The 27,087-nt window shown below is 38.6% G+C and overlaps 2 long non-coding RNA genes across 7 annotated transcripts in view; one reads left to right on the top strand and one right to left on the bottom strand.

The window, feature by feature from the left end:
- LOC105378027 (uncharacterized) overlaps nucleotides 1–27,087 on the bottom strand; it is a 246,946-nt gene that overhangs the window by 134,840 nt on the left and 85,019 nt on the right. The window lies entirely within an intron of this gene.
- Nucleotides 1–27,087, top strand: part of LOC105378026 (uncharacterized) — a 55,690-nt gene that overhangs the window by 13,363 nt on the left and 15,240 nt on the right. The window lies entirely within an intron of this gene.

The raw sequence follows: 27,087 nt of genomic DNA, 5'->3' as shown, positions 1-27,087 counted from the left end.
TTGACCTCAGGCTACTTAAGGCTTTCTGTTTGTGTTCCACAGACCTTTATTTATACTTTTATTTTGACATCTTTCATATTATTTTAATTAGTTATTTGGATATGTGTCTCCTCTTAAAAGAAACATTTTAGACAAATTAAATTTGACAGAGTTTATTTGAGCAAAGAATAATTTGTGAATGGGGCACAATAATTGTCAATGGGGCACAATAATTGTGAATGGGGCACACCAGGAGAGGTTCAGAGAGCACAACCAGCAAGCATGGGTACTCAGCAGTGGCCACACGAGGTCAGCCTTGGTGAACTGAAGTCCATGTTGCTGAGTCCATGCACAACTTCCATCCCTGCCACCATGGCCACTTTGTTCATGGCCCCATTGGGTGATGACAGGGTGGCTGGGGAAATAGGCTGAGTGGTGTCCACAGAACAGGTCATCCTATACACTTAATTAGTAAAATTTTCCTCTGCTGAGGTCCCCATTGGTGAGAAATTACATGGGATACAAATATCTGAGTGGTTTTGGACCACTCAGAGAGGTCCATTTATATACCTTTTCCCCAAATTTCTTTGTCACCAATTTTCTAATCGTGCTTCTTCCAAGTCTTTGGCCATCCAGCCAAACCACTGGCTACGGCCCATGAAACAGTATATAATCACACATCTGACCATTTCTCCTTACATGCAAAGTACACAACCAGGTGCACTGCTCAAAGTTCTGCCCACTGGGAAGATTTCCCTTCACTGCTGTCCTTCAGGGATGTCCTAGAAAGGGGCTGTAGTGCCTCAGCTCTCCACTTTCGGGTGGTACCTGCATATCTTGCAGAACCATCTGTGAATCAGGCCCTATTTTTCTCTTCCTCTGTCATCTAATCATAGGGAATTCCCCATAAGGCCATCGGTGCAGGCTGAGAGAGAGAAGGCAGGGTGGTAGGAGTGGAGACCATGGGCATTTGAGCCACTTCCTCATGTAACTTATTTGTGCCTTCAGGACCTGTTCAAGCCTGGTCGCATATATATACCACTTCCATTTGATGATGGGATGCTGCTGTGCAAGACCCACTTTATAACTAGATGGGTCAGAAAGGACCCAGTTCATAATATGCAGTTCAGGTCACATGGTTACCTGATGACCCATAGTCAAACTTTCCGTTTTCACCAAAGTCCAGTAACAGGCCAAGAGCTGTCTCTCAAAAGGAGAGTAGTTATCTGCAGAAGATGGCAGGTCCTTGCTCCAAAATCCTAGAGGCCTCTGCTCTGATTCACCTATGGGGGCCTACCAAAGGCACCAAACAGCAACCCTATCTGCCACTGACACCTCAAGCATCATTGGATCTGCGGGGTCATATGGCCCAAGTGACAGAGAAGCTTGCATGGCAGCCTGGACCTGTTGTAGAGCCTTCTCCTGTTCTGGACCCCACTCAAAACTGGCAGCTTTTCAAGTAACTTGATAAATAGGCTGGATTAACACACCCAAATGAGGAATGTGTTGTCTCCAAAATCCAAATAGGCCCACTAGATGTTGTGCCTCTTTCTTGGTTGTAGCAGGGGCCAAATGCAGCAACTTATCCTTCATCTTAGAAGGAATATCTCAACAGGCCCCATACCACAGACCCCTAGAAATTTTACTGAGGTCGAAGGTCCCTGAATTTTAGTCAGATTTATTTCCCATCCTCTGGTATGCAAATGTCTCACCAATAAGTTCAGTGTGTTTGCTACTTCTTGCTCACTGGATCCAATCAGCATAATGTCATCAATGTAATGGACCAGTGTGATATCTCGTGGAAGCGAAAAGCAATCAATGTCTCTCAGAATAAGATTATGACACAAACCTGGAGAGTTGATATATCCCTGAGGTAGGACAGTAAAGGTATATTGCTGGCCTTGGCAGCAGAAGGCAAATGGCTTCTGCTGGGCCTTATGGACAGGAATGGAGAAAAAGGCATTTGCCAAGTCAATGGCTGCATACCAGGTACCAGGAGATGTATTAATTTGCTCAAGCAAGGAAACCACGTCTGGTACAGCAGCTGCAATTGGAGTCACCACTTGGTTGAGCTTATGATAATCCACTGTCATTATCCAAGATCCATCTGTCTTCTGCACAGGTCAAATAGGAGAGTTGAATGGGGATGTGGTGGGAAGACCACTCCTGCATCTTTCAAGTCCTTGATGGTGGCACTAATCTCTGCAGTTCCCCCAGGGACACAATATTGTTTTTGATTTACTATTTTTCTAGGTAGAGGCAGCTCTTATGGCTTCCGTTTGGCCTTTCCCACCCTAATAGCCCTCACCCTACCGGTCAGGGTGCTAATGTGGGTTTTCTGCCAGCTGCTAAGTATGTTTACGCCAATTATGCATTCTGGCACTGGGGAAATGACCACAGGATGAGTCCAAGGACCCACTGACCCACTGTAACTTGGACCTGAGCTAAAACTCCATTAATTACCTGACCTCCATAAGCCCTTACTTTAACTGTAGGACCACAATAACGTTTTGGGTACCCTGGAATCAACATCAGCTCAGAGCCAATGTCCAGTGGTCCCCAAAATGTATTATCATTTCCCTTTTTCCAATGCGCAGATTCCCTGGTAAAAGGCCAGAGGTCTCATTGGCAAAGGATGGGAAAAAGTTTTACTGCATAAATTATTGGTTATGTAGTGGGGTCCTTCCTCAAGAGGACCCTGCCTCCTTTCATTTAAGGGGTTCTGGGTCTGTAAATTGGCTCAAGTCTAGAAATTGATTGAGGGGCTGTGATTCTCTGTTTTCATAGTACAAATTAGCCTTTTTTCCATTTGACCTAGAAGTTTTTCTGCTTGTATAAATTAAGTAGGAATGCAGTAGGCTTCCTATCAATTTTACTTCTAGGAACACCATGATTAATTAGCCAATGCTAGAGCTCTACATGAGTCAGACTATTATGATTGCTGCTTTGTATCTGCTGTCCATTACAATAGCTATGCCCACCTTGCCTTTGATGGCTGAGTTCCACCACTTGGCCCCTGCTGCCTCAGGATCCAAATATTCTCATCATATTTAAATTTTGTAGTTGAGTGACTGTGGTTCCCACTGTTAGATCTGACATACAGAGTAGAGCAATTACAGGGCTCTTCAAAGATGCCCTCACAAATCTATTTTACAAGGCATTGGTCAAGGGTATATCTTCTGGACCCTCCCAGCTGGGATGAGTAGGTCTAAAGTGACTAATCCACTTCACCATCCCAATCTCCCTAAGCCTTCTCATCCCTTCCTCTACATTAAACCAAGGGAGATCAGGCATTTCCAGCTCACTCACAGTGGGCCATCTTTTAATCCGTATTTTAGCTAACCAAGCAAATAAACTATTAGAACCTTTTTTTAACTCCCAAGCTGCAACATTAAATACAGAGTCCCTACTTAGTGGGCCCAAATCAATATATTCAGCCTAATCCAACTCTGTGTTCCTTCTACCATTAACTCAACCTTTAATATTCATTCCCATGCCTGTACTCCAGATTTCTGTTTATATATGTTACAGAATTAAAGCAGTTCTTTTTAAGTGTAGTGCGCCTCCTCATGGGTCACACTCTGTACCTGACCTCTAGGGGCCCAGCGGGACTTTAGTCTAGTTATAGGTCTAGAAGCAAACAAGGATGTCAGGGGTGCCACTACTGGTGATGGGGAAGCTGTTCCATCTGGAAAAAAGCTTCATCCATGTCCCTGGCTTCATCAGAGTCCTCTCACACTTCCCCATTCCAAGTTACAGGGTCCCATTCTTTTCCAATCAATGCCCTCACTTTAACAGTAGACACCTGACGAGGCTATGCATGCACTTTCATTGGAGGTCAGCCACTCACATGATAAGACCTTGTGTCTGTTTTTCCACAATTTCAGCTCTTTCACTCTAGGAGATAAGACTCTCACTCAGGGCAATCTTAGCAGATTTGAGACTCAGTATCTGCTTCTGAAGCCAGGAGACAAGATCCCTGAGTTGGTTGTTTTCTTTCATCACTTTGTTCACTGAACTTAGGAGCAATTAACCAGCTTCATTATGTTCCTTGGTTCTCCACATATGGTCAATGGTATTATGTATAGAGTCACTAAACTCCTTGCCTCTTGTGAGCGGTGAATCAGGAGTGTCAATTGCATTTGTTTTGCATAACTCTCTAAACAGTTCATGCCAAGGAATATCAGTGTTCTCCATACTATTAGAAGTAGAGTCCTTAGCATTTTTGGGTCTAATCATATTAAGCACCCAACTCCAGAAACCCCAAAACCAATGAAAGAACTCCATCCTTAATATTCTATTCCTCTCAAGCCACTCCTGGTACCAAAATCTGTATTAGCCAGGGTTCCCTAGAGAGCCAGAACTCATATGATATATCATATATATATGATATATATATGATATATCATATATATATGATATATATAGATATATAATATATATGATATATATGATATATATATGATATATATCATATATATATATATGAGTTATTAAGTATTAACTTACATGATCACAAGGTCCCACAATAGACTGTCTGCAAGTTTGAGCAGCAAGGAGAGCTAGTCCAAATCTCAAAACTGAAGAATTGGAGTCTGATGGAGTCTGATGTTTGAGGGAAAGAAGCATCTAGCATGGGAGAAAGGTGTAGTCTTGGAGGCTAGGCCAGTCTTGCCTTTTCGCATTTTTCTGCCTGGCAACACCCTCACAGATACATCCAGCATCAATACTTTGCATCCTTCAATCCAATCTAGTTCACACTCAGTATTAACCATCACAACATGATTGTGTTTTAAAATGTGAGGACATGAAATTTGGAGGAGCCATGGGCGGAATGAAATGGTTTGGCCCTGTGTCCCCACCCAAATCTCATCTCAAATTGTAATCCCCATGCATCAAGGGAGGGACCATGTGGGAGGGGATAGGATCATGGGGACTGTTTTTCCTACGCTGCTCTTGTGATAGTGAGTGAGTTCTCATGAGATCTGATGGTTTTATACGGGGCACTTTTCTCTTCACCTCCTCTCTTTCCTGGCCCCTTGTGAAGAAGATACTTGCTTCTTCTTCACCTTACACCATGATTGTAAGTTTTCCGAGGCCTCCCAGGCCATGCTAGAACTCTAAGTCAATTAAACCTCCTTGTTTATAAATTACCCAGTCTCAGGTAGTATCTTTATAGCAGTATGAAACAGACTAATACAACATACTAAGTTCAATTGCAGTTTGCTACCTATGGAGACAGCTTTGGACCAAATTTAATGTAATTTAACACTCTGCATCTAGAATATAAGACTCCATGTGTTGGAATTTCTTTTCATTCATGAGTTTCTTTTCATAGCTACCTCAGTGACTTATAGATAGGAGATACTTAGTAAATGATTATGAAATGAAAGCTAGGTGTGATAATAAACATGGAGATAACAGACAGGAATAAAGCATTGTTTCTTGGTAAAAGGACTGCTTAATGTAGCAGAATGATGTGGTTGGATTTGTCCCCACCAAAATGTCACCTGGAATTGTAGCTCCCATAATTTCCATGTGTTGCAGGAGGGACCCAGTGGAAGATAATAGAATCATGGGGGTGGGTCTTTCCTGTGCTGTTCTCATGGTAGTGAATAAGTCTCATAAGATCTGATGGTTTTATAAAGGGGAGTCCCCCTGCACATGCTCTCTTGCCTGCCACCATGTAAGACATGCCTTACTCCTCCTTTACCTTCTGCCATGATTGTGAGGCCTCCCCAGCCATGCTGGACTGTGAATCAATTAAACTTCTTTCCTTTAAAAATTGCCCAGTCTTTGGTATGTCTTTATTAGCAAAATGAGAACAGACTAATAAAGTAAATTGTTACTGGTAGAGTGAGATGCTGCTGTAAAGATACCTGAAAATGTGGAAGCAACTTTGGAATTGTGTAACAGGAAGAGGTTGGAACAATTTGGAGGGCTCAGAAGAAGACGAAAATGTGGGAAAATTTGAAACTTCCTACAGACTTGGAGGGCTCAGAAGACAGAAGATGTGGGAAAGTTTGTAACTTCATAGAGACTTGTTGAATGGTTTCAACCAGAATGCTGATGGTGATATGGACAGTAAAATCTAGTCTAAGTGTGTCTCAGATGGAGACGAAGAACTTGTTGGGTACTGGAGCAAAGTTCACTCTTGCTATGCAGAGACTGGCCACATTTTGCTTCTGCTTTAGAGGTCTGTGGAACTTTGAACTTGAGAGAGATGATTTAGGGTATCTGGTGAAATTTCTTAGCAGCAAGGCTTTCAAGAGGAAGCAGAGCATAAAACTTGGGGAAATTTGCAGCATAACAATGCAATTGAATAGAAAAATCCATTTTCTAGGCAGAAATTCAAGCCAGCTACAGAAATTTGCATAAGTAACAAGAAGCCCATTGTTAGTCACCAAGACAATGGGGAAAATGTCTCCATGGCATGTCAGAAACCATGCCGCAGCCTCTTCCATCACAGACCTGGAAGCCTAGGGGGAAAAATAATTGGTTCCTGGGCTGGGCCCAGGGCCCCCTTGTTGCATGCAGGCTAGGGACTTGGTGTCCTGCATCCCAGCCACTCTAGCCATGCCCAAAAGGGGCCGAGGTACAGCTGGGGCAGTATTTTTGGAAGGTGCAAGCCCCAAGCCTTGGCAGCTTCCATGTGATGTTGAGCCTGCTGGTGCACAGAAGTCAAGAATTGAGGTTTGGGAACCTCCACCTAGATTTCAGAGGAGGTATGGAAACGCCTGGATATCCAGGCAGAAGTTTGCTGCAGGGGTGGTGCCCTCATGGAGAACCTCTGCTAGGGCAGTGTGGAAGGGAAATGTGGGGTGGGAGCCCCCACATAGAGTCCCCACTGGGACACTGCCTAATTGAGCTGTGAAAAGAGGGCCACTGTCCTCCAGACTCCAGAATGGTAGATCCACTGACAGCTTGCACCATGCATCTGGAAAAGCCATTGACAATGACAGCCATGAAAGCAGCTGGGAGGGGGCTGTACCCTGCAAAGCCACAGGAGTGGAGCTTCCCAAGGCCATGGGAACCCACGTCTTGCATCAGTGGGACCTGGATGTGAGACATGGAGTCAAAGGAGATCATTTTGGAACTTTAAGGTTTAATGGCTGCCTTATTGGATTTTGGACTCACATGGAGCCTGTAGCCCCTTTGTTTTGGCCAATTTCTTTCATTTGGAACACGTGTATTTACCCAATGCCTGAACCCCCATTGAACCCAGGAAGTACGATGTGGCTTTGCTTCTCCTTCACCTTCTGCCATGATTGTGAGGCCTCCCCATCCATGCTGAACTGAGACAATTAAACCTCTTTCCTTTATAAATTACTTAGTCTTGGGTATATCATTATTAGCAGCGTGAGAACAGACTAATACACAGAGTAAATAAACATGAACAAAAGATTGTTCAACATATATTTCAAAGCCTCTTTTGCAGCTAAAGCCATGTGACCTAGGTTTTACAAGTCAGGTAACTCACATGTGATTGATTTTCAAGTGAAGTTCTGTGCAGGGCCCCAGTCTACCAATGGGAGGCAATAGAAGCTATGCCGGACATTTCTCCAAAGAGTTGTTTTTGCAGGATGATTGTGAGATTTTCCAGGAATTGGAAAATTAGTTCCCCTTAAGCCAGCCTGTGTGAGTATCTTGGAATATTGTTAATACATGCTTATCTTGGGGAGCATTGGGGAGCTTGTTCTTTTCTAGCCCTTCCATGAGAGCTATCTAGTTTTTTAAGCAATTTTTAAAAATCAAAGTATAACATATTTAAAGGAAAGCACAAATCGTAAGTAAACTACTTGATGTATTTATCAGAAAGTGAACACACCCATGTGCCAATTACACAAATAAAAAAATAGAAAATTATGTGAATCCCAAAGCTCTTTTATGGACCTTCCCATTTACAAATTCTCATCCTCCTCAACGCCAACCACATCCTAATTTCAACCACCACTTGGTTTGCCAGTTTTTGAACTTTATACATAGAGAATGACACAGCAGGTACTATTTTGTGTCTGACCTCTCTAGAATTCAGTTTCTGAGTCATTAGAGGATACTCCTCATTATAAGCACAGGACACTGCACCTAATAGTTCTTACCACTAAGTAAGAGACTCAAACTAGTACATATTCTTCCAAGTTTCAGTGAAATTCAGAGAATATGATAGGTGTCCAGCTTGTTCCAGCAGTAATGTGAGTGACTCTATCATGTACCTTTGAAAACCCAGCAGATCCAATGCAGCAGAAGTGCCTGAGGTTGTGCTGAATGTTGTATGGAGCCTGTTTATGCCCCAGTAAGTGAATTGCAGCAATGTCTGTTGGGTTTTGGCAGAAAGCAGCATTATACTTGTAAGTAGGCTTATATGAACAAAGTAGCCATGGTAGACTGATAACAGGTTGTATTTAGTTTCACATTATAAACTTTTCACTTTGATATCCCAGAATACAGTCACTGCTTGGTCAGTGCAAAATCAACTCTGACCTTCTAACACAAAACCTACTCCAGGAGACACCCTCCTCCTTCACATGATGGGTTGATTACATCGGAACCCTCTATGAGCAGCAATTTGTCTTCATTGAAATAAACACTTATTCTGGATCATAATCTTTCTTCCTGTCCATGGAGTTATTGACAGAAACACAAAGAGTGGTTTCCTTGAATATCTCCTTCACTATAATGATATTCTGTCATGGGATTTCTTACTAATAAGCTAATTTAATCACAAAAGAATAAGGCAATGTAGTCAGTAATGCTCATGGGATTCTCTAGTCTCACTATTTACTCCAGATCCCCAATATAGCCAGCCTTATAGAATGTAAAATGGATTGTTGGTCAGTCATATATATCTTCAGAGATAAGAGATTAAACTAATAATTTAGTGGAGTGGTGTTGTTAATGATGTGGTATGTGCTTTGAACCAGGAACCAATGTGTGCTGCCATTTTTTTTCCCACAAATTGAATATGTGGTTCTCAAAACAAAGAAGTAGAAGAGGAAGTAGCATTTCTCACTATGACACCTAAAAGATATTAAAAATCTTGAATACCATATAAGGTAGTTTGAAGTGTGCCCTGCAGGCAAAGGCAAATAATGATCAAAAGTTAAGATTGAGAGTGACCTGGATTTTTGGGGAAGAGGGGAAAGTTTTGCATGGAGAAGAGTTAGAAAGTGAATGCAATGGTCAGACACAAGCTGCTAATGCCTTGGACTCACACCTGGCATTGGAAGGGGTGAAGAGAGGACAACATCATATAGATTAAATCATCCAGATTTATGACTGATTGAAAATATATTGAAAGAGAAAAAATATTAAGGATAATATTATATTTTTTGATATTGTGTAGGTTCTAGATTTAAGAGCAGCAGGCTTGATGGTAACATTTTTGGGTTTTGTTTCTTCTAGATATGTAGTTCAGGTGTTCGGGAAAAAATTAGAATGCAGTAAAAAGAGCAAACTGCAGTTATGTGCAACATTGTTGCATCTTAGAAACGACGCTGTGGAATGAAAAAATAAGACACACAAGACCACATGTAATATGACACCATAATTACAAACAAAAAACCAAATTGATATTTTATTTAGAATTATCTAAATAGGTTAAAAAAATATTTTCAAGTGTCATGGTAATGATGCATGCAAATGCAAAATCTAGGGTAGTGGTTATTTCCCAATAGGAAAGTAGGAAGGTGGGATTGGAGAAAAGCATGGTAATATTTTATCTTAGGAAGGAGCATGAATTCATGGATATTTGTTTTATTATTATGACTAATAATAATCTATGTCTACCACATAAATATCATATGTTTAAATATTACATAATAATAAAGTACTTTATCAGATTCAAATGACTGTAGGATGGAGACAAAACTTGGAGTTTTTCAGCATTTAGATGACAGTTGTAAATATGCGTGTATAAAAATTTCCTCTAGTGAGAACATGGAGACAAAGAAGCTGAGTACAATATCCCAGAAATACCCACCTGTAATGGGTGAAGAGAGGAATCCATTAGTAAGAAGTCAGGGAGAAAGCTGGAAAACAGGAAGTAAATTGTGTCTTGAAGCAAAGGGAATAGAAATATAAGGGATCATCGACAATGCAAAACGATGTAGAGACATCAAAGTTTGGAAACAAGACATTAGATTTATCAATTAATAAGTATGCTATTTGGCATATTGTCTGCATTACAGTTTGAGGAATGAGGTAATTAATGGGAACAACTCATGTAGGTATTGATAAAGAAGCTCATATTAATAATTGATTTACTATGGCTAGGATTGCCAAAACAGAGTACCACAGACTGGGTAATTTAACAACAGAAATATATCTTTTACATTTTGGGGTACTAGAAGTCCAAGATCAAGGAGTTGGCAGGGGTGGTTTCTTCGGAGGATTGGATTAGGCCCCACTCTAATAGCTTCATTTTAATTTAATCACCTCTTTTAGGGCCCTCCCTCCAAATGTCATCATATTCTAAATTACTGTGGTTTAGGGATTCAACATATGGCTTTTTGAGGGGGGACACAGTTAAGTGCATTAACAAGGATCTTATTTTGGGTATCTCCAGATACGCCAGAAACTTTCAGTCATCTGGTTATTCATTAGTGCCTTCTATCAATTAAAAATTATTTTAACTATTGAACCGAATTCTTGTTCTGATCCCTCATTTATTATAAGTCATACAATTCCTATCACTGTAAAACTTAGATTAATAGGGATTAAAAGACCTCTTAACCGATTTGTAAGAAAGGATTTAATATCCAACGAATCTTACAAAATGACCAACATATCATAATGCTTGAAGAGGGTATATAGTAATTGTTATAATTATCTTTTTCTCCTTTCCCAGACAACCTAGTGATGCCTCTCCAGTATCATGAACATTTCTTAAGTTTGAATGATATTTTTGGTGTATGTTTGTTTTGGGGGTGGAATATGAAATAAAGCATTCTTGACAGGTGCCCTGGAGATATCCAGGATATTGCTCAGCAGGTCGGTACATTGAGGTGAAGGAGAAACTGTACCTCATTATGTAGTAAGTTCAGAGCCTAAAAGCACATCACAATGGAGTAAAATTAACTTCTCATTGTCATGTAAAGCATGGTATAATAACAGTCAAGTAAAACTCTTAATGCAAAGAGTGTATTATATCAGGTTGGCTTGGATTGTATAAAAATCTAATTTCAGTTTCAGAGTCTGGACAGGAAAACAAATGCAATTAGAAATTAATGTTAATCTGCTGGTAATATTCCTATAGGGAAACTGATATAGAAAGACATGTCCAAGACTTGAAAATTGTATAATAATCATGTATGTATTTGAATCCAGAGAGGTTTGATCCTGGGAAGTCTTTTTGCCTAACAGCTTTGACTTTCTGAAGGTCAGAGGTTTGGCCTGACATCATGTATCATGTCCTGGATTCTATATGGTGTCATATACTAGTTGTTGAAATGAGATATGAGAATGCCTGGCCAACAAGTGGGGAGAGGAGAGATATGTGAAGAAGAGGAGCGTTAGCACACGAACAGTCCCCAGGGAGAAACTAGAAACATGGAGTGGTATTTTTAGATACATTACATGTTAACGTTACATTAATTTGTTGTGAAGCCACCCTCAAGGACTTTATTATACAGAGAAGAATAATTTTCCTTCATCTTTCAGTGAAAGTGTTGTTCTAATCTGAGAACTAATGTTGACCAGCTGACAAGGTATTAGAACCTATATTCTCGTCCTCTATTCTTTTCAATCATTCTTCTCTGTTATTTTTTTCTCTCCTCTTCTGTATTATTTTTTAGTGTGATGTTAGGCAATTTACTTAATTCTTCTTCAGCTGTTCTCTTTGTAACCTAATTTTCTTTTATACTATTAAGCACATCCACGTTCTATTATGCATGAAATATATGGAAAAATCAATAAATGAATTAAATATGTTATTCTTGTTTATAAAAATTTCATATTCAAAAAAAGAAAAAAATACAGATTTGGAAGCATCATAAGAGGGTCTTCCAACAAAAAATGCTGAGCAGAAACCAATTTATGTCCAATTTCAAAAGGAATATTTTGATTTGTTGGTTTTCTTTGCATTATTCACATACTGTATCATGTTAATTTCTTGAGGTCTTGCAATGTGCTATACACTGTGGTCTGTAACTTATCTTTAATAAGCAGAAGATCATGTCAGCCCAAATAGTATTCTTTCATTTTATAAAACAGGGACAGAATTTTAAGAAATTTAACTAACTTGGCTAAGTTTGCATGACCAAATTACTCCAACTATTGCAGGAGAAACAGTTTTGGTAACCTATTTCCTACTGCTTTGGTTAGATTTAAGGGCTTTACTTATTTATTTGTTATATGCTAAATTTGTACTAGATCAAATATTTGGGGCCAATTTACATGATTTAAAGTAGATCCTACTTTTTGAGTCTTTTAAAATGATTGAATGACTAGAGAGGAATTGACAGAAACCAACCTAGAGTTTACACCTTTAACTCTCCTGTCCCTCAAAAAAAAAAAATCCTCTCTGTGATGATTACACATTGTGTGCCTGTATCAAAATATCTCTTGTATCCCCAAATATATGCACCTACTATATACTCATAAAAATTTAAATAAATAGGCCGGATGCGGTGGCTCACGTCTGTAATCCTAGCACTTTGGGAGGCCGAGGCAGGCAGATCACAAGGTCAGGAGATCGAGACCATCCTGGCTAACAAGGTGAAAACCCGTCTCTACTAAAAATACAAAAAAATTAGCTGGGCGTGGTGGCGGGCGCCTGTATTCCCAGCTACTCGGGAGGCTGAGGCAGGAGAATGGCGTGAACCCGGGAGGCAGAGCTTACAGTGAGCCGAGATCGCGCCACTGCACTCCAGCCTGGGCGACACAGCGAGACTTCATATCAAAAAAAAAAAAAAAATTTAAATAAATAAAAATCCTCTTTTTCTTTGCCTTTATTATTCATTTGCACAAGGATAAAGAAAAAACAAAAGAAAATCCATATTTTGGAATAAAATTTATATGTTACAATGTGTGTATCTTACAAGACTGAATTTGTACAGGAAATATAAAAATACATAAATAAGTGGTTTTCTATTCCCAGTGCCTAACAAGGCGTTATAGATGCATACTAAATTTTCATTGGATTGAATCCACACTGATAGAAAGTTGAAAGAAGATGATAAGGAGAAGAAAAAGACAAATAATCAATACGGGAAGATACTTGTATACATGATAATAGTTTCTAAGTACTGTAAATACTATGCAGAAAGCTGTTGTGTTAAATGCAAAATGATGCTAATCACACCATCATCATCACTATTGCTTGTTCTCAACTCAGCCAAGCAGCTTTCAAAGGCAAGAACAGCTTTACAGCTCCCGGGAATGAAGTGTGGAGCCAAATCTTCCTAGCGCAATAGTCTAATTACACTGAGCATCTAACACACACCAGAGCATTCTCTACCCTAACCCAGCAGTAGTCTGTAAATTCAGAGAGGGAAAGGAAAGGGTGCAGAGAGTGGGAGCAAAAAATGAAGTACCCTTGATGACTACCTAAGCCTCAGGGCTTTGTTGTTGTTGCTCTAGCATACTGTAGCATTTAGATTGTTCCTTCTTCTCTCCTTATATAGACATGGCACAGTTTCAAAAATAGCCTGTGCTTTTTTAGACCTTTAAAGACATCATCAATCATTGTCTTCTATGGTAATGCTTCAGTTACCCAGGAGGAAAAAAAAATACAGTAGCCATGGAAGTGACATCCTAATGTGCTGAAAATCAAAACTAAAAAAGGGCAGTGTTTGCATATTAGCAATGTAAGCAGTGCAAGAACTGTGATGAACCATTAATAAGCCACTCTCATGCTTTCTAAGTATTCAGGAAATGTGCCGCCTGACAGGCCGGATCTTTATAGGATTAGCTTAATGATTTGTCACTTTCTGCATTGCTTGCTGCCCTTCTGCCTTTTTTATGCTGAACAAAATTGTACGAAGCATTCTGTGTGGCCGAACAAGCCCACTGTTTCTCCATGATAAGCACCCCCATTTTAGACACTTACAGTCCGTCCATGTTTAATGACATTCAGCAAAAAGAAGCTCAAGAGCCGTCACCTTCTATTCAAATCACGTTGGTTTCTTTCTTACTGCCACGGTGGTTTCAAATTGACCACTCCCAAGTGATCACCCAGAATAATGAATACCCAGGGGTGCTGTGCCCTCCACTCCACACCATTTGTATCTCTGGGAAATGAACACATGCTACGTCAGCCTAGAGAGACACACAGGGGCAGCTTGTTTGAATGCAGCTTGTGTCAAACTCCCGTATGTTGGCCAAGGCGTCCAACATGTGTTTGAAAAAATAAAAAGCCATAGCACATACACATATATGATTTTGATCACATTGAGGTGCATATGTGAACTACTTCTGCAGAAAGAAAAGGTATGAATGCCTATTATTGAAATAAGCAATTTTTCTGCAGCTCCTTAGGTGAACAAAACATGTTCAGTTTCTACGTTAAAAGGTTAACTGTGGTTTTGAATAGATAACAAACATGAAATATTAAGAGGATAGGTTCCATCTGTTGATAATTTTATTGATACATTTGAGCATACCATTGATATACTGGCAGTAAATATATACTGTGGCATTATTTTTAATATGAAAGATTTCACACTGCAGTAAGCCTGTAATTAGAGTTTTCAGATTATCATCTGTAACTGCTTTATATATGTTCACCAATTCCCTTGAGACTTTTGAGGTACTACTGCTTGCACCACTGATTTTATGAAGGTTCACAGTCTGTGAATACCATCGAACTTAAACTTACTTTGTATGCCAGGCAAACCCCTAATATATACATCCACAAAATCACATTCGATCTTTACTGCTGAACACACATACGTACACACATTGTTTGTAGCACTTCAGGTTACTTTTTCTATTGTTTTAATATGCTTCAAGGGATTGATAATGGGATAAAGAGCTTTTACTACTTAATCACATATTATGAACCTACTTTGAGTCTGTAATGACTGCTAATGCTTAGTTTGAATATTGTTGTCTGCAATCCATTCTCAATGAACTGCCTATGTTTTAAATAACTGACTTTTGGAATATTATGAGACATTTTTCATGGTAATAACTTTTTGAACTTTAGTGACCGGCTGGAAACTTGTACAATGAAGATTTACTATATTTTAGGCTGTAATGATTTATCTTTAAATTGTAAAATTTGGAGTAAGAAATAATTAACACACATCATATATACATATAAATCAAGATTATTTGACTAGACAAAGTTAACCACTGCTTTATCTATCCCAGTATTCAGGCTATGAACAGGAACAGTTCTCTGCTAAAAACTAAAATACTAAAAGTCTATGCTAAATACTAAAGTACTAAAATTTTTTTTGAATAGCCTTCAAAGAAGCTGGTACTAATTCAAATTGGTGGCTGCTACAAAGGGCTTGTGATCTAAAAATCAAACAGCATTTATAAGACCCCCACAATGAATTTCAAACAATAGAGGCAGATATATAGAAATGGGTATATACATACATATATAAAAGAATGATACATAGATGCATACATATATAAAAGTAGATATAAATATGAAATGTATTTTTTTCCTCAATAATCTCTCTTTCATGAATTTTGGAATAGAAACCAGCATCTGGTGCAAAAACAAAAAAAAATTATCAAGATTCTATGAACACTATTCAGTATTATAATAATGACTACTAAAAGATTCCATCATTTATTATAGAATGCATCCCAATGGTTTCTGCCAAGTTCACAAGTCTTCTATTGAGTCATCAGAAAGTATACTTTAAGGCTAGGTTCACAAATGAACGGAGAAAGGAACAATTTCTTACTAGTGGCCTTACTCTAGGAAAAGGAGACAGTTATTAATACCAACATGAAGCTTGAAAATTGTACTTAAACATTTGTCTAAACAAAACTGTCTCTTGGGAAAGTAACACTTTGCAACTCTCCTGGTATCCTGTCTCCACAGTCCACATTCCACCTTGATCAGCACTGGCCAGTCAAAGGAGAAGATTCAAGTGGAAGACTAAGGTGGAAGGAAAATAAGATAGACATTGAAAAACAAAAACAAAAACCAAAAAAAAACCCCCCAGAGACAGAAGCATGGAAGATAAGAAGGAAGGAAGGAAGGAAGGAAGGAAGGAAGGAAGGAAGGAAGGAAGGAAGGAAGGAAGGAAGGAAGGAAGGAAGGAAAGAAAGAAAGAAAGAAAGAAAGAAAGAGGAAAGAGAGGAAGGAAGGAAGGAGAGAGGAAGAAAGAGAGAAAGGAAGGAAGGAGAGAGGAAGAAAGAAAAAGAAAGAGAGAAAGAAAGAAAGAGAGAAAGAAAGAAAGAGAAAGAAAGAAAGAGAAAAAGAAAGAAAGAAAGAAAGAAAGAAAAAGAAAGAAAGAAAGAAAGAAAGAAAGAAAGAAAGAAAGAAAGAAAGGAAGGAAGGAAAAGAAAATAGTCCACAGGATACATTATTAGATCAGCAACTGAAAAAGAATGTATAAGGGGCCTCAAGTGGTAAAGAATTATAAATCAGCTGCTGCTATTTGTCTCATGAGTCTCTGGCATGAAAACTGGACCTTCATCAAAACAAGGAGTATTCATTTTTTTACAGTATGGGATTACAACTCATCATAGACATACAATTGCTAAATAATGGAAGGTTCCCTGTAGACATACGTTGGTAGGAATACGACTCGTAGAAATGACCAAGGCAGGGAGATGAGGAAAAGGAAAATCAGAGGTCCTGAAATCCCTGTACAAAAGTGTGAATGGATTTAGCAGCAGCCAAATCATGACTCGGATTTGAATTTAGGATAATTTTTAGACAGGTAGATGTTGGTGGGCTTTTCTTTACTGAAATATACTTTTATTTACCTTGACATCAGAGTTATTCTGAAATATGTAAAATTTAAAAAAATGATTAAAGCCCTGGGCATTATGCTAATCTCTCTGTCTCACACACACACACAAATACACTTCATCTTTACTCAACCCCACTTTTCCTCTATTTTTTTTCCTTCCTATTCCTAGGTAGCATTTCTGTAGAAAATGATTAATACTTCTCCACTGAATTTTCTAGTGATGAAAATGAACAGATTTACATTAAGCATATCTATGTCTTTCTAGTGTCTAGTTAGCTGGCAAGACAATTTAATGGTTTACTGGTTTAAATGGAAGAAACACGGGCTTGACTAACTTTTTACTAAATATCATTTTCTGGATAATAGTCATGAGTCAATTTTTTAGTTGTAAATATCTCTGCAAATCAGTTTAAAGCAAAAATAATTTCTTTATAATTAGAGAAAGAAAAAAGGCTACCCCTATTCTTATTCCAATTTTCTGAGTATACTGCTTTTGTGTTTAGGCTCTTTCTCTCAGTGCCAGGCATCTAGAAGCACTTAATAAATGTTTAAGGTGATATATATAGTACTGTGTGAACAGGCCCCACAGAGGTCAAGAAAGTTATGATAATGATTTTCCCAGGGTCAGTTCCTGCACTAAATGTTCATCAGCTGTTAGATTATATTTTGATTTTTTTGATTTACTGCTTAGTTTTTGGTAGATTGTTTTCTGAATTATCTTTAAATCACAGAGAAAATTAGATTTGTTTTCTGGTTTGAAATAGTATCCATCTGTTGTATGAAACAAATTGTATTAATTCACGTCTCTCCTATTCAAAATTAGATTTCCTTTTTACAGATTTTGCCATTAACAAATTAGTTATCTAACAATGCTAAATATCAGCTTGATTCTTAGTTTAAAAGTTTCTATTTTGAAAATGAAATGTGATCACTATGCACACCATTTGGCCAAATATCGTCCCCTTTGTTTTCATTAACATTGAAGAAGGCAAAGTATGCAAGTAGGTATCTTGTATATTACCACATCTAAAGAGAACGTTTTAAACAGTATTTATTGGATCCAGTAAGTACACACACATTCAAAAAATTGGGATTTTTAAAAAATTTGTCATTTTATAAGAAATAGATTAAAAATATAGTTCGAAGAAGACATAGTATGTGAAGCTTAGGAAACAAGCATATTTTACTGTATAGTTTTTAAAAATTTGATTTTATTAAGTTTGTTAAGAAGTTAAATCTAAAAGAATAATTTACCTAATCTGAGATATGTAGATATAAATTATTCAGTGAGGAAAAGACATTGTGGACATTCTAGTTTATTTTACTGAATGCTGGGTAGTGGTCCTTTTACTTTTTTCATGTCTCCAAGTTTTTGGTAAAACCAGAGCTGGTAAAATACACAACATGCACCTATAAGTTCATCTCATTCAACTCTCTGGCAACAGGGACATTTAAGAGATGTTGTTCAATCAAAGCTGACTTGTTTAATATTTTTAACAAATATAAATATTGATTCTTGATATTTCATTTTTACAAAGTGCCGAAAAGCTACAGGAGAGCTCAACAATTCTTCTAAGTTATTGAAGAACATACAAATTTTTCCCAGTATAATTCTATTGTTGAAAAAATTTACATCTTCCAATTTTTATTTTTATAGGCAACCTACACAAAGCATGTGTGCTAATTATTCTTTTTTTTTTTTTTTTTTTTTTTTTTGAGACGGAGTCTCGCTCTGTCGCCCAGGCCGGACTGCGGACTGCAGTGGCGCAATCTCGGCTCACTGCAAGCTCCGCTTCCCGGGTTCACGCCATTCTCCTGCCTCAGCCTCCCGAGTAGCTGGGACTACAGGCGCCCGCCACCGCGCCCGGCTAATTTTTTGTATTTTTAGTAGAGACGGGGTTTCACCTTGTTAGCCAGGATGGTCTCGATCTCCTGACCTCATGATCCACCCGCCTCGGCCTCCCAAAGCTAATTATTCTTAATCACTATCCTTGAGTAATCCACAGATCACATGCTATAGCAATCTTTGTATTTTTTATTCTATATTTACTATATAGAATCTTATATGTACTATATTAAATATCATATTTATACAACACTGAGTTGTATAGTCCTTCAATAGGAAAAACCACTATTAGAAGCACATTTGTTGGGTTTTATCAAAATAAAATTACTGCATTTTAATAAATTCTGAGTCTTCAGTGTCTCCATTACAAGAAATAACTTGATTACAAACTATAACTCAGGATCACTTGTTCTTTTTGTGTTTTTTTATGAATCTAGAATACTAGGAAGAAAAAATTATATAAGGCTGCAGACACAGAATTTTATGATATTACTGTTTACAAGAATTCTTTAATTCTCCTGTACTTTATGGGCATTTTTATGAAAATGAATTATCAAGAATCAACAATTATATTTGTTAAAAAAATTTGGACAAATCAGCAGGGTGCAATGGCTCACGCCTGTAATGCCAGCACTTTGGGAGGCCAAGGCGGACAGATCCCGAGATCAAGAGATCGAGACCACCCGGGCCAACATAGAGAGGGTGAAACCCCATCTCTACTAAAAACACAAAAATTAGCTGGGCATGGTGGCACGTGCCTGTAGTCCCAGCTACTCAGGAGGCTGAGGCAGGAGAATCGCTTGAGCCCAGAAGGCAGAGGTTGCAGTGAGTGGAGATCGAGCCACTACACTCCAGCTCCAGCCTGGACGGCAGAGTGAGACTCCATCTCAAAAAAAAAAAAAAAAACTTAGACAAAAGAACTTCGATTGAACAACATTTCTTAGTTGTCCCTATTGGTATAAGGTGGGATGAACTGCACTTGTATATGTGTAGTGTGTATTTTACTGAGAGTCTGGATGCATAAAAAGAGAAGAAGGACCACTATCCAGAATTCAGTAAAATACTGTTTCAAGTTATGGGATATATTTTGAGTAAAGATGCATCTTCATGTTTTACACTGTCCATTGGAATCTGTGGTATTTGGAAGCTAAATCAGGCATACAAAATTGATTGAGAGTTTATTTTTTCTTCATAACTGAGTACCTGAATTCACATGTATACTCAGTCCCTCTAAGAAGAAATTACTAGTAATTCTACTATCAGTGAATAACACTATACTTCTAATTTGAAGCTTGTTTCCATATGCCTTTTTTTTTTTTTTTTTTTTTTTTTTTTGAGATGGAGTCTCTCTCATTCGCCCAGGCTGGAGTGCAGTGGCGCGATCTCAGCTCACTGCAACCTCTGCCTCCTGGGTTCTAGCAATTCTCCTGCCTCAGCCTCCCAGGTAGCTGGGATTACAGGCGCATGCTGCCATGCCCGGCTAATTTTTTGTATTGTTGTTAGTAGAGACAGGGTTTCACCATGTTGCCCAGGCTGGTCTCAAACTTCTGAGCTCAGGCAATCCACCTGCCTTGGCCTCCCAAAGTGCTGGGATTACAGGTGTGAGCCACCACACTGGGCCCCATAGGCTTTAATCAGTTGAAAAGTTATTCAACTTTCATTTGAAGATTCATTAAACCTTTAGTTCAAAGGTTTCCATCTAAAGAATTTTAAAATTAACTCTACCTATATTTATGCTTGTCAGGTAGCCTGACAACAGTGGATTTGATAATAACCATTGATAATAATTCACCTAATTGAAACTCTAAAGTGATTGAGAATATAAATATACTTGTAACTGAGGTCTCTAAGTGCTTCCACTTAACACAAAATAAAATCAACACTGGTAAGGAGACCGGCTGATTGTTTTTCTGATTTATAATCAGAAGGGAGGTTGTCAATTAGGTAATTTAAACAAGCTATATGAGAAGAGAATCGTGATTTCCATTTAAATTATTCAAAACAAAATTAGCTGGGGTAAACATATTTTAACAAAAACATTCTGCACTTATTATTGTCTTCTGAGCTTGACAGAAGAGTAAAATTTTAGTGTTTAGATTTGTTTATGCTTTGTTTGGGATATTGAGCAATACCAATTGAGCCTCCATGATAACAGCTCAGAGAAAAACTCATTGTTGCATCTTCACAATGAAACAGCTAGAGAAATGGCAGTGCTTAAAGGGAGCATGGAGGTTTGTGCTTAAAAACAATTAGGAGGCCGGGCGCGGTGGCTCACGCCTGTAATCCCAGCACTTTGGGAGGCCGAGGCGGGTGGATCATGAGGTCAGGAGATCGAGACCATCCTGGCTAACAAGTAGAAACCCCGTCTCTACTAAAAATACAAAAATTAGCCGGGCGCGGTGGCGGGCGCCTGTAGTCCCAGCTACTGGGGAGGCTGAGGCAGGAGAATGGCATGAACCCGGGAAGCGGAGCTTGCAGTGAGCCGAGATTGCGCCACTGCAGACCGCAGTCCGGCCTGGGCGACAGAGCGAGACTCCGTCTCAAAAAAAAAAAAAAAAAAAAAAAAAAAACAAACAAAAAAAAACAATTAGGATCATTTATTTATTGAACCAATATGTAGGAATTTTCTTAACAATTTCTATAAATTCAGAAATGTTTGAATTCATCTACTAGGGAACTTTAAAGACATTAATAACTTGCAATATTGGTATTACCACAGTCTCAGTATATATCCATGATATCCCAAAAGTTAGTGTACTATGGTATCATTAGAATTATTTTGGAAAGCCCCAAACCAAGGAGTAGTTTTTGGCCTCCCTGGAATTTTTATTGCTTTGAGAAAGATAGAAGAATGTATACAATTTAGAATCTTATGAGAATCAATCTCTGTCTGCATTCATCTTAGGACAATAGGAGAATTATATCAAGGACTTCTGGAATATCAGGTTATTTTAGTTACTCATTGATTTATAATGTGCCTTTAATAAAACATGTTTTGAATATCATTGAAAAATGGCCTTAGTGAATTGAAGATTCATTAAATTAAACATTAAGTGTATGAATTTTATAATACACTTGTGTGCTCCTGTTTTTTAAATTGCACCATTAACAATAAATTATTTCTATAAAATAATTTTTATTTTCATCATATTTTTAAAATGAAAGATTAGTGAAATCATTTTACATTAGGTTTATGCACATATTAGTATCTGCTTACATGAATCTTTACATAAACACAGCAATACTATATCTAAAGGTGTTCTTAGAACTGCCAGATGTTATATTTATTGAAAGTGATATGCATACCTGCTTCCTCCATTCAATCCATTTTGATTTCATAAAGTGTACTGCATGCACCCTCTGGACAAAGCTTTGCTTTACATATCTTATAATACATAAAATCACTTCTACTCAATGAGTTTACTATTTTATGAGAGTACAGCTAAAAGCCTCCAAAGTAATCATGATAAAATATAAAAAGAGGAAATGCCCAAAACATGTCTAAACAAAATATTAAAATGATTTATTGAGAAGGGGAAAATATTTTCTGTAAAAGTCTCAAGATTTTATCAAAGAAATGGTATTTGATGTGATCTTTGTTTGATTTTGAATATTTTATTGAGGTATCATTTAAAATGTTTACATACAATAAAATGTACAAAATAAGTGTGTAAGCTGAATGATATTTTCTGTATGTATACCTGATATGCTTTGGCTGAGTTCTCCACCAAATCTCACCCCAATAATCCGCACATGTCAAGGGCAGAACCAGGTGGAGATAATTGAATCATGGCGGTGGTTTCCCACATACTGTTCTCATGACAGTGGATAAATCTCACGAGATCTGATGGTTTTATAAAGGGGAGTTCCCCTGCACACACTCTCTTGCCTGCTGCCATGTAAGATGTCCATTTGCTCTTCCTTCATTTTCTGCCATGATTGTGAGACTTCCCCAGCCATGTGGAATTGTGAGTCCATTAAACCTCTTTCCTTTATAAATTACCCAGTCTCAGGTATGTCATTATTAGCAGCATGAGAATGGACTAATACAGTACATTGGTACCAAGTAGTAGGGTGCTGTTGTAAAGATACCTAAACATGTGGAAGCAACTTTGAAACTGGGTAACAGGCAGATGTTAGAACAGTGTGGAGGGCTCAGAAGAAGATAGAAAGATGTGGGAAAGTTTGGGACTTCCTAGAGACTTGTTGAATGGCTTTGACCAAATGCTGCTCATCTCAGATGGAGATGAGAAACTTGTTGAGAAATGGAATAAAGATGACTCTTGCTATGCTTTAGCAAAGAGACTGGCAGCATGTTTCCCCTGCCCTAGAGATCTGTGGAACTTTGAACTTGAGAGAGATGATTTAGGGCATCTGGCAGAAGAAATTTCTAAGCAACAAAGCATTCAAGAAGTGACTTGGGTGCTGTTAAACAAGCATTCAGTTTTATGTATTCACAAAGGTAGGGTTGGAATTGGAACTTATGTTTAAAAGGGAAGCAGAGCACAAAAGTTCAGAAAATTTGCAGCCTGTTGATGCAATAGAAAAGAAAATCCCATTATCTAAGGAGAAATTTAAGCTGGCTGCAGGAACTTGCATAAGTAATGTGGAGCCAAGACAATAGGGAAGATGTCTCCAAGGCATATCAGAGGTCTTCATGGCAGCCCCTCTCTTCATAGGCCTGGAGGCCTAGGAGGAAAAAATGTTATCATGTGCCGGGCCCAGGGCTTTGCTGCTTTTGAAGTCTTGGGACTTAGTGCCCTGCATTCCAGCCATGGCTAAAAGGGGTCAAGATACAGCTCAGGCCATTGCTTCAGAAGATACAAGCCCCAAGCCTTGGCAGCTTCCATGTGGTGTTGGATCTTTGGGTGGACAGAAGTCAAGAAATGACGTTTGGAAACCTCTGCCTAGATTTCAGAAGATGTATGAAAATACCTGGATGTCTAGGCAGAACTCTACTACAGGGGTATAACCCTCATGGAGAACCTCTGCTAGAGCAGAGCAGAAGAGAAATATGGGGTCAGAGCCCTCACACAGAGTCCCCACTGAGGCACTGTCTAGTGGATCTGTGAGAAGAGGGCTACTGTCCTCCAGATGCAAGAATGGTAGATCCACTGACAGCTTCCAACATGCTCCTGGAAAAGCCAAAGACACTCAATGCCAGCCTTTAAAAGCATCCAGGAGTGGGGCTGTACCCTGAAAAGCCACAGGAGCAGAGTTACCCAAGACCATGTGAGCCCACCTCTTGCATCAGCATGATCTGGTTGTGAGACATGGAGTTAAAAGGAGATCATTTTGGAACCTTAAGGTTTAATGACTCTCCCATTGGATTGCAGACTTGCTTGGGGCCTGTAGTCCTTTTGTTCTGGCCATATCACCATTGTATCTGGGAAGTAACTTACTTGCCTTTTTTTTTTTTTTTTGAGATGGAGTCTCGCTCTGTTGCTCAGGCTGAAGTGCAGTGGTGTGATCTTCGCTCACTGCAACCTCCAACTCCCAGGTTCAAGCAATCCTCCTGCTTCAGCCTCTCAAGTAGCAGGGATTACATGTGTGCATCACCATGCCAGCTAATGTTTGTATTTTCAATAGAGACAAGGTTTCACCATTTTGTCCAGGCAGGTCTTGAACTCCTCACCTCAAGTAATCTGCCTGCCTTGGCCTCCCAAAGTGCTGGGATTACAGGTGTGAGCCACTGTGCATGGCCACTAACTCGCTTTTGATTTTACAGGCCCATAGGTAAAAGGGGCATACCTTGTCTCAGATAAAACTTTGGACTGTGGACTTTTGAGTTAATGCTGAAGTGATTTAAGATTTTGGGAGACTGTTGAGAAGGCAATATTGGTTTTGAAATGTGAGGACATGAGATTTGGGAGGGGCCAGGGTGGAATGATAGATTTGACAGTGTCCTCACCCAAATCTCACCTTGAATTGTAATAATCCCCACATGTCAAGAGTGGGGCCAGATGGAGATAATTGAGTCCTAAGGGCAGTTTCCCCATACTGTTCTCATGATAGTAAATAAGTCTCATGAGATCTGATGGTTTTATAAAGGAGTGTGTCCCTTCACACACTCTCTTGCCTGCCACCATGTAAGAGGTCCTTTTGTTCTTTCTTTGTCTTCCACCACGATTGTGAGGCCTCCCAAGTTATATGGAATTGTAAGTCCATTAAACCTCTTTCCTTCATAAATTACCCAGCCTTAGGTATGTATTTAATAGCAGCATGAGATCAGACTACTACATGCCTCTGTTTGACCACCACGCAGATCAAAGTATAAAACATTCTTCACCCTCCAGTGATAATCACTATTTGACTTATATTATAGGTTAGTTTTGCCTAACCTTGAACTTGGCATGAATGAAATTATGCCATACACTATGTACACTTTTGCATCTCCCTTCTTTAACAAGACAAAATATCTTTAAGATTCTTCCATGTTACTGTATGCATAAGTAATTCTGTCTTCTAATTTCTGAATAGTGTTTTATTATATTCTCCAATTTGAGAAAAACTGAGTTGTTTCCATTTTGGGACTATCATGAAAGAGTCTTTTTTTTTTTGAGATGGAGTCTTGCTCTGTCACCCAGGCTAGAGTACAGTGGCGCGATCTCGGCTCACTGCAAGCTCCGCCTCCCAGGTTCATGCCATTCTCCTGCCTCAGCCTCCAGAGCAGCTGGGAGTACAGGCGCCTGCCACCACGCCCGGCTAATTTTTTGTATTTTTAGTAGAGACAAGGTTTCACCGTGTTAGCCAGGATGATCTTGATCTCCTGACCTTGTGATCTGCCTGCCTTGGCCTCCCAAAGTGCTGGGATTACAGGCTTGAGCCACTGCGCCCAGCCTATGAAAGAGTCTTTCATTAACATTCTTGTACAAGTATGTTTGTGGACCTAAGTAATCATTTCTCTTGAGAAGATTCTTAGAAGAATTGTTGAGTCATATGCTAGATATATGCAAACAGTATTCCCATAATGTTTAATCATTTTATACTCCTTTTCAATTAATGAGCATTATGGTGACTCCATATCTTGCCCTCACTTTGCATTTCTGGTCTTTTTAAGTTTTACCTTTAAAATGTTTTTATAATCACATTTCCTTGTGATTTTTATTTGTATTTTCTAGATGACTAATGATGTTGAGTGTCCTTATACACCTTTCAGATACATTCTTTGGTGAAACACTTGTCCAACTATAAATATTCTGTCAAAAATTAGAAGAAATAGAGAAAAAGAGATTATAAAAAGATAGAGACTGATGAGAAAAATGGAGTTAGGGATACAAAACTTTAAAACTTTGTCCATCTCACATACATATACACACAAATAAAGACCCTTTTAAAAGGACAGCACTATTTTCCACATCATAAATTATGAAGAAATGCATAAATATTGTAATAAATTGCCACTTTTTTCCTTGAAAAAGGCCAGAACTTTGCTTGAGGAAGTGGGCATCAAAAAGATTTCAGCTTGTGATTATTATGAATTGGTAGAGGGAGGGTTGTCTGAAATGTGTTGGAAAGTTGTAACACCAGATGGGGATGTGTGGCTCACAGCTCACATACAGTGAACTGAGGTAGCTGGTAGATGTTTGAGATGTGTGTGTATGTGTGTATTCTTTGCATTAGTATGCAGTTCTGTTCAGCTAGGTGCAGTATTTTTCTTTATTCAGGTAGTATCTTTTGCAGAAGAAATTATACATAAGCAAAGGCAAAATTTGTGTTATGCTCAAATTGTTCCCTGTTATATCAAATGTGTTGGAACAAATCCATGTTTCCTGAATAAGTGTTAGAGCAGAACAGACTGCATCCCCTTTTGAACATAATTTCCAAGATTTATGAGTAACAACATAAAATCCTTGGCTAATTGAATTAACAAATGTAAAAACCTTGAATACTTAAATGAAGAGTTGGCAAACATTTCCTCTAAAGGGCAAGATAGTAAATATATAAAGCTTTGCGAGTGATAAGGTCTTCAATGCAATTACTTAATTCTGCAATAGTGGTGCAAAACATCCATAGACAATGTGAAAATGAATGAGTGTGATTGCATTCAATTAAACTGTAGTAGTCCCCCTTATCCACCGGAGATACATTCCAAGACACTCAGTGGATTCCTGAAACTGCAGATAGTACCAAACCTTAAATATAACTATGTGGTTTTTTTTTATTTGATAACCAAGAGGGCTCCTAAATGACTAACAGGTGGGCAATATCTATCACGTGGATTTTCTGGACAAAGGGATGATTCACATCCTGGCAGGATAGAGCAAGATGGCGTGAGATTTCATCATGCAACTCTGAATGATGCAAAACTGAAAACTTATAAATTGTTAATTCCTGAAATTTTCCACTTAATATTTTTGGACTGTGGTTGACTGCATG

Source organism: Homo sapiens, chromosome 6, assembly GCF_000001405.40.
Source record: "Homo sapiens chromosome 6, GRCh38.p14 Primary Assembly".
Taxonomy (NCBI): domain Eukaryota; kingdom Metazoa; phylum Chordata; class Mammalia; order Primates; family Hominidae; genus Homo; species Homo sapiens.
The sequence above is the reverse complement of the archived record's forward strand: the minus strand, read 5'-3'. Positions and strand labels throughout refer to the sequence as shown.